General features: G+C 39.2%; 1 protein-coding gene across 36 annotated transcripts in view; it reads right to left on the bottom strand.

The window, feature by feature from the left end:
- Positions 1–12431, bottom strand: part of BMPR1A (bone morphogenetic protein receptor type 1A) — a 177082-nt gene that overhangs the window by 4432 nt on the left and 160219 nt on the right. For 32 of the 36 annotated variants that reach the window (NM_001406562.1, NM_001406568.1, NM_001406567.1 and 29 more), the window contains 5 exons: positions 11087–11279; positions 8944–9241; positions 6718–6893; positions 4907–5037; positions 444–4819 (listed from right to left, as the gene is read on the bottom strand). In NM_001406562.1, the coding sequence (NP_001393491.1) occupies positions 4694–4819; positions 4907–5037; positions 6718–6893; positions 8944–9241; positions 11087–11279 (924 nt within the window). In that variant the 3' untranslated portion in view covers positions 444–4693. Of the gene's footprint in view, positions 1–443; positions 4820–4906; positions 5038–6717; positions 6894–8943; positions 9242–11086; positions 11280–12431 lie in introns of those variants that run through there. The other 4 variants (NR_176213.1, NR_176212.1, NR_176211.1 and 1 more) reach the window with 2 other exon arrangements.

Here is a 12431-nt window from a genome sequence, read left to right as displayed (position 1 = left end):
GTCTCTATTAAAAATACAAAAAATTAGCCAGGCATGGTGGCAAACACCTGTAGTTCCAGCTATTCGGGAGGCTGAGGCAGGAGAATTGCTTGAACCCAGGAGGCAAAGGTTGCAGTGAGCTGAGATCGTGCCATTGCACTCCAGCCTGGGCAACAAGAGCAAAACTCCGTCTCAAAAAAAAAAAAAAAAAAAGGAAAAAGAAAACAATGTTTTGTCTTGTTTTTTAAAGGAAAAACCCCTGCACCGTGATAGGTTTAGAAGTTCTCTATCTCCACAGGGCAAGCGTGTACCTACCTGTGCTCCATACTGGGTTTCTGGTAGTTGAAGTGTACATCTCAGGAACATATGTATATACACTAACTTAATCATTACAAAAATCTCAACAGATGACTTCTGATGCACAATACCGTCTGAGTGTAGCATCACAAAACACATCACTAAAGTATACTAAAATAAGGTTATTTACTTCAAAATGATACATTGGACATAATCTGTATATAGAACAAAGCAAGTAATGGTAAACTCTTAAGGCACCTTTTAAACCAGATGCTGTACAAAATACATTTAGTGTGTTACACGTCAAAGACGAATCTATATTTTTGGTGTTTTACAACTGCCTGATAAAACTGCTTGCTTTTACCCTTCTTTCAATGCCTATGTACAGTTTCCCCTAATGAAGCAATAATGATATTTCCATTTTATACAATATATACTACATTTTAGTTTTTAAATGGGCCAGGACAAAGGTCACTAAAAGGGCTTAAATAATTCCATAGAAAACAGAATACAGAGCATAAGCTAAAATTACAATAGTTAATCCTTTACAAGAGCCATATTCACATACTTTCCTTATGGGACCATCATTACACGTGGCTTCACAGGATGCTGTGCTGGATTTTGGTTCTTAGGAACACACCTCCTCCCTGCAGTTTCCACTGTGACTCTCACAGCAGCACACTAAGGCAAGAGACGAGCTGTGGCACTGCTATTTTAACACCTGACTCAAAGTCAGTAATAAATATGACCACTTTTAAACACTACAAGGGCTATCATAATCTTTTGTTAAAATAAAAATCATTTCTGCTGTTGAAATGATTTTAGATATTTAGAAACATTTCAAAACAACATCTATGAAGTATGTTTATGAAAGCTGCCCTGGAATAAATTATTCAATATCAAATTTGATCCTGGGCCAACCCAAAGATGCATGATTCTTTAAAAACTATAGTGCATTTTTGTTCTAAACAGAACAAAGCATCTGAAGAAAAGTACTGATTGTTAGAGTAAATCAAAATTTGGCACGTTCTAGGAAAACATAATTTTAAAAAACTATAGGTCACTTTCTAAGTTTAGAAACACTTCTGGACACTGGAAAGGCAATGTAAAAATACTGATTAAAATAACTTTTGTGAAAATATTTCCAAAGAAATCAGATGCAAGTTTTATACATCAGAAACTTGTTCAGTAAAAAGCACAGTAAAAGCTTAGAATAAACAAACTGAAGGAAACCCTAATGTGCCTTTAATCCTAGAGCTATTTGCCAGCATAAAGAGAATTCACAAGAACTCTCTTTGAGGGTTAACTTTTCCTGTTTATAGTCAGGTAGTTTGGGTTGTTTGCTTTTATATTTTAATTATTTAAAGAGCTATCTGAATGAAGCTACACACTTCAAAAACACTAAATTGCAAGTGGGACCAAATAATGGCTTCCAAGGTTTTACGAATTTACTAACTATGGTACTACATAATACTTCTTCTTGCTGGCCTATCATATTCTTTAAATATTTCACTTAGTCGATGAGCTTCAGATTTAAGAATAAGAGTGGAAAGGAGAGACAAGAACTAAGTTTAATGCAACATTTTTGTTTTTTGTTATTTATTTGTTTGTTTATTTGAGATGGAGTTTCGCTCTTTTGCCCAGGCTGGAGTGCAGTGACACGATCTCAGCTCACTGCAACCTCCACCTTCTGATTTTAAGCAATTCTCCTGCTTCAGCCTCCCGAGTAGCTGGGATTACAGGCACCCGCCACCACGCCTGGCTGAGTTTTTTATTTTTAGTAGAGATGGGGTTTCACCATGTTGGCCAGGCTGGTCTTGAACTCCTGACCTTGTGATCCACCCGCCTCAGCCTCCCAAAGTGTTGGGATTACAGGCGTGAGCCACCGCGCCCGGCCACATTTTTAGATTAAGATTCCAAAGACGGCAGCATTTGCTTTTTAAAGAACATGTTATACTAGAAAATGTTTTTACTGAGCAAGTTTCTAAGATTAACTCTTGATATCACTTTTACTAGACCAAGTTAATTTTAAAAAACCATAATAGTGGTCTCATATACTGGCTGTAATTTTTTGCTTCCACACACCATTTGAACATTTCCAATAAACTTTGCCTGTCTTTATATTTTTATTAAGATGACAAATGAACTTTGGGAGGCCGAGGCAGGTGGATCATGAGGTCAGGAGATTGAGACCATCCTGGCTAACAAGGTGAAACCCCGTCTCTACTAAAAATACAAAAAATTAGCCGGGCGCGGTGGCGGGCGCCTGTAGTCCCAGCTACTCGGGAGGCTGAGGCAGGAGAATGGCGTGAACCCGGGAAGCGGAGCTTGCAGTGAGCCGAGATTGCGCCACTGCAGTCCGCAGTCCAGCCTGGGCGACAGAGCGAGACTCCGTCTCAAAAAAAAAAAAAAAAAGATGACAAATGATTTTAAAGATTATGGTATCAAGTCAAAAGTAAACCAAGATTTAAGTAAATTGGGTGTTCTAAGTGCAATCATATCATACGGCAACGCAGATTAAAATATTTGTATTTCTCAGTATACATATGGTGAAAAATTCTGAAAAAACAAGTTATTGGGTATTATCCATATGCAAATTTACTTATCTTGATGAACACTTCAGACTTTAATTATGGCAGATGAAACTTATTAATCAAAATGGTTAAGGCAATTTTCAAATTTGTGAAATTTGATGTGCAGACAAATTTGTAAGTTTTAACCTTAAATGATAGTCAAATTTTGGTAATGGGTGGACATATGCTGATTTCCTCCCATTTAATTTAAACCTTTTTGATGATGATGTGATATAATCACATTTATTTTATGTTATAATCAAATAAAACTATCTCACTTGATGTACTCATGAATTGTTTGCTCAGAATAAATATTTAAAAAGCATTAAAGAAGTATAAGTTTATGTAAATCAGATTTCTTGAGATAACAAGGCATCTATAAAATATGAACCATTTTATTGAAGAACAGTTATACAGTGTAGCTACAGATACTGACTAGATACTAAATATTTCTGCCTGATTTTTCATTGTCTTCACAAGTTAGGGAATAGAAATCAAAAAACCAAAAATCTCAAATGATTTAGCTGTCCAGAACATATTTGACAGTTGATAAATTTATAACAGCTCTGACATATAAATTTCTAATTAGAGAATCCTTTCATTTGAAAAAATTGAGATGATATTACCCTAATGAAGTTTTTACCTGAAGTTAACAAAGTCCTGGATTTGATATATTACTTTGAATGCATTAATTCTGAAAATTTATATTTAGTTCTACTTTATAACATTTCTTCTCTTAAGGATGGGATATGAGGTACACATGAGCTGGTTTCTACAGTATGAATGTATGTACATATATAAAGTATGGTTGTAAAGGAGTGGGTGATTTGCAAATAAAGCACATTATACACAAAATATAAATAACTTCCCTTTTAAAAGTTACTGAGAATAAAGAATATAGAACATGGTTATAGGCACTTACATTGCTATCAAATGCAGGAATTCACTTCAATAAGAAGTGCTTTCTTTGTAAGCATGGTTCATGGCAATAGAAGCTCCAACTTTGGAGAGGATGCTTTCCGTGACAAAAATAATAACCACAAAAAAAATGGTGGTTGAAGGAAAACAGTCCAAATTTACAGATGCTTTAAACTTCTTTTGGCCTTGGCATCAGCTTTCATGTTAAAAAATAAAGCTGGTGGGGAAGCTATCTCACTTGCAAAGTAAATGGCTTGTATGAGATTGGCGAATCTTGGTCAGATATTGCATTTTTAAAGCACAAAACCACCGGCCACCAATATCTTCCTGTGCATGCATATAAATTATTTTCTTCTAATTCAAATGGCAGCAGAGGAATCCCGGCGTGCATGTGCATGGAGACACACACACATCACTAAGGACACAGGACAAACTATCATAAAATAAGCAGTATCCCAAACACATCATCATCTATAGGCTGTTTTACAAAGGTAGAATACAAACGAACTGAAAGTCTCAGGTAAAAGGCAAAGTCTATTTCTCCATCTCTGCTGCGCTCATTTATCTTCTTAAGGCTTTCACAGAAAGCACCGTTTTATGAACAGGCAATTCAGTACCCAGAGCTTGACTGGAGACACTAATCAGGATTGAAGTCTTGATGCAGTTCATAAAAACCCACTTAAAAAAAGGCATCAAAAACCACATTTAAAATAAAGCTGTCCATATATAAAGAATGAAGTGTTTAGAAGTTCCCAGCTTGTATCCTAATAAGAGTACTGAAAGGTTTAATATTAGCAGCCTGTGAACACGTAGTGAAGAAAGAGTCTGAGAACCAAGTTAACATCCTTATTCCACTCTAATTCCACCCATGCCATGGGTAAAAACAGTTCTTGCAGTCTAGAGTTTCTCCTCCGATGGTTTAACCATCAGATTTTTACATCTTGGGATTCAACCATCTTGGCAAGCGTCTTCTTAATTCTCAATGCTGTGAGTCTGGAGGCTGGATTGTGGGCCCAGCATTCTGACATTAGCTTCAAAACTGCTCGTAGACACTGAAAAGTAAAGAGATGTTCAGTGAGCAGAGAATATATTTGGTGGCATTTACGAATCACTTCTTCAGGGGACTGAGTTCCACTCACTTCATCACTGTTCCACCGATTAGACACAATTGGCCGCAAACGTTTGACACACACAACCTCACGCATATCTTCGTATGACGGATCACTCGGTACCATGTTGTAATATGGCAATTGGTATTCTTCCACGATCCCTATAAGGGAATGAGAAAACATGGGCACAAAAATGGTTGCTGGACAAGATATACCAATCTAGTAAGCATCTTTTGCTAAACTATGGAACTAAAACGGATTCTTACACAAGAAAAAATATAGACACTATGATTCACTCTTAATAGTAGATGTATGTTTTTCTCTTATTTATGTCCAACTATTTCCTCTACCTCCACCAGGGATGTCATCACAACTGTGATAGAGTCCATCGACAAAGGGCATATCAATCTTCCTTAAAAAAAATAAGCAAGGCGAAATCAGCCATTTACCCTAAAGTATAATTATTTACTTATATGGTTGTTCCTACTAATGAATAGTTTTTATTATTTTGTTTCATTTTGCTCTGCAGTAGAAAGACTTATGAGGTGCAGATAAGGGTTCACACAGCAGGCCTGAGACCTTCCCTTAGGAAAGGCGGCTTGCAAGGTTTGGCCTTGGCCAGTGCCCGGGTACACAAATGGTAAACAGTTCCCTACATGGATATAAAACTTACCGGAAACGGTGAGGGTAACTCACCACTCCTGGGCTGCTTGTGCAAACAATGTGGTGTGTACTGCACGTCTGCTTTCCTGCTGGAATTCTGGTACATGCCAGGCAGAGGATGCCTATGTGACCAGCCTCCAGTAAAATCTCTGGGTGCCAAGTCTCTAAGGAGCTTTCCCGAATGAGAACACTTTGTATGTGTTGTCACAACTAGTAAGAGGAATGAAGCACACGCCCTGACTCCGCTGGGACAGGATTCTGGGAAGCCTCGCCTGGTTTTCTAAACTTGGCTGATTTTGATTTGTATCCTTTCACTGGGATAAATGTTAGCCATTGGGACAACCACATGCCGAGTCCTGTGGTCCTTCAAGTGAAATCGCACAACCTGGGGGTGGTCTTGGGGACTCTGACGTATGTGACATCTAAATTACGTAACTGCCAGCAATTGCACTCCTAGGTGTATACCCAAAAGAAAGGAAATCAGCTAACCGAAGAGATACCTGCACCCTCATGTTTGCTGCAGCACTGTTCACAATAGCCAAGATGTGGAAGCAACCTAAGTGACCATCAACAGATGAACACATCAAGAAAATGTGGCACCTACACACAATGGAGTATCATTCAGCCAGAAAAAAGAATGAGATTCTGCCTTCTGAAATAACATGGAGGAACTGGATGTCATAACGTTAAGTAAAATAAGCCAGGCACAGAAAGACAAACTTCACATGTTCTCACTTACTTGTGAGATCTAAAAATCAAAACAACTGAACTCATGGAGAACAGAAGGATGGTTACCAGAGGTTGGGAAGGGTAGCAGCAGATGGGGGGGGATGTTTAATAAGTAGAGACAAAATAGAAGAATGAATAAGTATTTGGTATTTTATAGCACAACGGGGAGGACTACAGTTAGTAATAATTTAATTGTACACTTAAAAATAACTCAAGGAGTATAACTGGTTGGTGAAACAAAGGATAAATGTCTGAAGGGACAGATATCCAATTCTCCAAGATGTGATTATTACACATGGCATGCCTGTATCAAAATAACTCCTTATCCAATAATATATACACCTACTATGTGCCCACAAAAATTAAAAACTAAAAAGTTATATAACTGGAGCTGTTATTTTTAAAATGATGAGTAAATCAACATAATCAGAAACTACTCAAACTCCCACCTCCTGTGATACAACGACGAGCCATCTCCCAAATGATTAGGCCGAAGCTGTAGATGTCAGCCATGATGTAGGGCTGGAAGTGGTTTTTGTTCAGGCTTTCGTCCAGCACTTCGGGAGCCATGTAGCGTTTGGTGCCCACCCTGGTATTCAAGGGCACATCAACTTCATTTGTGTCACTGAAACAAAAGAAAGCCAAGGTCCAAGTTGAGGGCCAAAAATAAAATAGTTTATCTTGTATTTTTGTCCTATTTTATAAAAGCTTCTTTTTCTCCTTGGGGCCAGATGCATTGTGGAATTTAGCATTTTTCAGATTTTTCTTTAAATACATGCTACATACTACATGACATCCTCAGCAGGGTTGGGGCAGCACTCTTAATCCAACTCAGTACTCAGTACTGTGTCTACAGCAAAACACTAAGTCCGATAGTCCTCCTCAACTGGATAAGGGCAATACACACCTCACATCCGTTCAGGTCAGGTTTTGTCACTAAATAAGTCTGGTGTCTAAGAAAGAGGACAACACTGAATATAAGATAAAGTTAAGCCAGGCACGGTTGCTCATGCCTGTAATCTCAGCACTTTGGGAGGCCAAGGCGGGCGCATCACCTGAGGTCAGGTGTTCAAGATCAGCCTGGCCAACATGGTAAAACACTGTCTCTATAAAATACAAAAGTTAACCAGGGTTGGTGGCACATGACTATAATTCCAGCTACTTGGGAGGCTGAAGCACGAAAATTACTTGAACCTGGGAGGCGGAGACTGCAGTGAGCCGAGACCATGCCACTGCACTCCAGCCTGGGCAACAGAGTGAGAATCTCTCTCAAAAAAAAAAAAAAAAAGAAAAGAAAAGGAAAAAAAAAAGATAAAGTAGTAGATAATTATGTCTGAGAAGTGGTGAATATGAAAATACAAGAGGAATCGCTTGCTTTTACCACTCTCATATGATACACTAAGGCTTTGTGACATAGGATTACATTTTCTTCTTTATGGGTCCCATCAACAGAGTTCTGTTGTTAGCAATGTTTACATGATCATACTGACAATTAGTAATAATTACTCTAAAGCAGTGATCAATATAATGCGTTGTATTTTCCTATAGCATCTGATAAATATCTGAGCCAACAAATACTACACTGACTCAGAACACTGTAACAGATTTAAATGTCTCTTACAGTTGTTTTAAAGACTGGTACTTTTATATTACAGCCTAAAATGAATTCTGAAATGTAAAGCAGCCACTCCATTCTAGAATTACAAGATTAAAATGGTTTCAAAGGTTTCCTAAAAATTTGTAATTTCTAACACTTGCATTTGTTTTAAAATACTGACACTATCAAGTGGTGACAGAAAAATGACATCCTTATCTCTACTGCTTACGGGTGTGTAAACTGAGGCACACTGCTGAAAGAAATAATATGCAACATACCATAGTTTAATATGTATAAACTCACTGCCTCAGCAGGCCCTTCTCTAGGAATCCATCATGAAGAAATGCTTGTACAAGTGCACAAGGATCAAATATATAATATATGGTTAAAATACAACAATGTTCATTAAAAAACCTTTTCATAATCAACTGAAGACACCTTTAATGTTCATCAGTTGGGTCTTAAGAATAAACTACAGTACCTCCACATATGGAAAACTCTGCATCTGTTAAAAAGAATGAAGTAGATTTACATCAGCTGAAATGGAAGGATGGCTAAGACTATATGGCACACACCTGTAATCCCAGCACTTTGGGAGGATCAGCTGAGCCTAGGAGTTTGAGACCAGCCTAGGCAACACAGTGAGACCCCATCTCCGCAAAAAATAAAAACATTAGCTAGGTGTGGCAGTGCATGCCTGTAGTCCCAGCTACTCAGGAGGCTGAGGTGGGAGGATTGCTTGAGCCCATGAGGTCGAGGTTGCAGTGAGCTAAGATCACACTACTATATTCCAGCCTGGGCAACTGAGTGAGACACTGTCTTTAAAAAAAACAAAAAACAAAAAACAAAAAACAAACAAAAAAAAACACCAAAAAAATATATATATATCAAGAATTATGTATAGGAGAAGTAGGACACAATTTTTGTAAAAAGAACAAAATCCCCCCCAACTATACATTTATGTAACTAAAAACAAGCATATGCACATTTTTAGAATTCCATTATCTTGAATACAAATAGGGAAATATCTTTTGGAAATTAAAATAATTTCAAAACAGTGGGGCAAAGAACCACTCACCTGTTGAATTTAACAGCAAGGCCCAGGTCAGCAATGCAGCAACTCCCATTTTTCTTGATGAGGATGTTTTTGCTCTTTAGGTCTCGATGAGCAATTGCGGGCTTTCCTTGGGTGCCATAAATTTCTGTGTGCAGGTGGCACAGACCACAGGCAGCTGAATAAGCCAATTTAAGCAGGGCTCTGGTGTCCAGTGTAGCACATTTCAGGAAGTCATAGAGAGATCCATTTTCATGGTAATCAGTAATCAAATAGAGCTGAGTCCAGGAACCTGTACCTTTAATGTCTGCCGCTATGAAACCTGTCCAGTTGATGAGTTTAAAAGGTTAGTTATCATCAGAGATAGGCTAGGGAGAAGTAATGCTCATTCTGGATACTGAGAAAAACTTAGGTATCATGTGCAGATAGTGAAACTTTAATTCGCCTGACACCAAGTCGTGAATGTGTTACTAAAAATTATATTTCTACATTTACACATATATCTGTACTTCTACAATAAATTTATAATAATCTTAATAATCATGAAAGTGAATAGGATTAAGAAAAAGATCATATATGCTGGGTGTGGTGGCTCACACCTGTATCACTTTGGGAGGCCAAGGCAGGAGGATCACTTGAGGTCAGGAGCTCGAGACCAGCCTGGCCAACAGGGCGAAACCCCGTCTCTACTAAAAATACAAAAATTAGTTGGGCATGGTGGCAAGTGCCTGTGGTCCCGGCTACTCTGGAGGCTGAGGCAAGAGAATCACTTGAACCTGGCGGCAGAGGTTGCAGTGAGCCAAGATGGCGCCACTGCACTCCAGCCTGAGCGACAGAATGAGACTCCGTCTCAAAAAAAAAAAAAAGAAAAGAAAAGGAAAGAAAAGAAAAAGATGACATATTATACAAATAACCTGGAGAATATTATCAACCTACATGATTCTCTAGTAGAAAAGGCTCTCAATTTCAAAGCAAAAAGTGGACACTTTTATAAAATTAAGAATGTTCAACTAAGAGTTAGCTCCTAATTAAGCCAACTCCCATTTGCCCATCAGTGACTCATCACAGCTGCCTTTTCAGTCTGGCTCGTTGACTGCCAGGCCCACAGTCCTGCTCTTTTCCTTTCTCTCCTACCCTCTTCCCTCCAGAAAAAGGTCAGTGAGTGCTATGTACTGAGCTGAACAGTGCTCCCCGACAAAATTCATGTCTAAAATCCATGTCATCTATAAACGTGACCTTATTTGGAAAGAGGGTCTTTGCAGATGTAATCAAGTTAAGATGACTCATACAGGATTAGCGTGGGCCCGAATTCAATGGCTGGTGATGTTGTAAGGTGGAAATGTGGACCCAGGCACCCAGGGAGAAGGCCACCTGATGACAGAAATGGAGACTAGAGTGTTGTCTATACTAAGCCAAGGAACACCAAAAATTCCTGGCCACCAACCAGTAGCCAGAGGAGGCAAGGAAGGCTCCTCCTCTAGAGTATTCAGAGACACAACAGCTCTGCCAACACCTTGGTTTTAAACTTCTAGCCTCGAAAACTGAGTGAATACGTTTTGGAGGTTGAAGCCACCCAGTTTGTGGTAATTGATACAGCAGCCCTAGGAAACTAATACAATTGCCTGCTTGGCAACATGCTATGGGCTCTCCAAATTAAAGGGAGGAAAACAAGAGGTGAAGGGAAAAGAAAACTCAGGATAGCCAGATCGGCTTATGTACCTGACTGACCAGCTCACACCTAAATTACTTTGCTATTGTGTAAATGTGGAGATGGGGGGAAACACACATTAAACACAGAACGTACAATGAAACTGCATGTTGGGCTGTTGAGCTTATGAAAGGGAAAAGGCACATATGTTAATGTTACCCTAAATCACTGCTTAAGTTATCTATAAAAGACTGGGTTTTCATTACTATGGGAGTAAGTCCAATAAACTAGTATTATTTTCCATTTGAAACTCACTGCTGTTTCTTCAGCTGGTTAGTAAAGAAAGATCTTGGTTGGCATTCCGGACTATGTTTTATTCAAACCGTGTATTCTACTAGGTTTCCTTTAGCCAAATGTATATAGTTGAACTCACACATTTTCAAAGCACATATGGAGGCTTCCACCTGTACCTCACTAGCCTTGTCAAAAATGAAATTGACTGAATCAGTGTGTACCCACCAAGTATGTTTTCATGGCGCATTAGCACAGTTTGGTAGATTTCTGTTTCTCGAAACCAGCTGGCTTCTTCAGTGGTAAAGAATACTTTCACCGCCACTTTTTCGCCACGCCATTTGCCCATCCATACTTCTCCATATCGGCCTTTACCAACTTGCCGGACCATCTGAATCTGTTTGGCAATAGTTCGCTGAACCTTTATAGAAAAAAGTAAAAGGTTTGAGCTCTTGATGAAAGAAACCCATTAAGACTGGCAAAGGGGTAGTCCATCTCATCAAAAAGCATGGTGTACCCAACCAACTCCAGTTAAAAACTTATAATGTACTTTTTTTTTTTTGAGATGGAGTCTCGCTCTGTCACCCAGGATGGAGTGCAGTGGCGCGATCTCGGCTCACTGCAACCTTCACCTTTTAGATTCAAGTGATTCTCCTGCCTCAGCCTCCCAAGTAGCTGGGATTACAGACACCCGCCACCATGCCCAGCTAATTTTTTTGTATTTTTAGTAGAGATGGGGTTTAGCCACGTTGACCAGGCTGGTCTTGAACTCCTGACCTCAGGTGATCCACCCCACCCCCGGCCTCCCATAATGCTGGGATTACAGGCGTGAGCCACCATGCCCGGCCATAATGTACTTTAAAGTATGAAACAATGTACAATGTATTCTGAAATCATAAACAGGTTATTCAAGTGGCTGGCTGTTTGCAAAAATGGTCATAATAATTACCCTCCCAGTGCACACAGTCGTGGGTAGTCTTGGTCCACAGACTCAGGGCTTAGGCCACATGACTTGCTTTGGATAAAAGAACAACAGCGAACGTGATGCAAGCAAAGACCTGACAAATGTTTGTGGACTGGGGCTTGCCCCCTTCCTGCTGCTTTGGGAACCCTGTGACCAAAAAATAATGGCAGCATGAACTGTCGGCCAAGGGTGTGAACTACACCACCTAGCTCTAGCTAAGCAAGTCCAACAAATGAACTGCCCCACAGACTCACAGAATGAGAAATAATGTTTGTTGCTTCACATCACTAAGTTTTGGGGTGGTTTATTATGCAGCAAAGTCCAAATAACAGTTAAAGATCTTAAAAATCCCATCTATAAGACCCTGCCTGATCTGGCCTGGTCCCATTATTTGCTTTGACCACCCACCCACAAACCTCGTTTGACTTATCTCAACTTTTAGAATTCACTCAAGCTTATTCCTGTCGCTGGGTTTTTTTGAATATCCAGTTCCCTTTACTTAGAGTGCTATTTTCTCACTTAAACACCTTCATAGCACACAAAACCTCTCAGTTGCTGCGCTTAACACAATCATAACTTTATTCTTATTTACATATATATTTGCTTGAA

Source organism: Homo sapiens, chromosome 10, assembly GCF_000001405.40.
Source record: "Homo sapiens chromosome 10, GRCh38.p14 Primary Assembly".
Lineage (NCBI taxonomy): Eukaryota > Metazoa > Chordata > Mammalia > Primates > Hominidae > Homo > Homo sapiens.
This window is presented reverse-complemented; position numbering and strand designations above follow the sequence as displayed.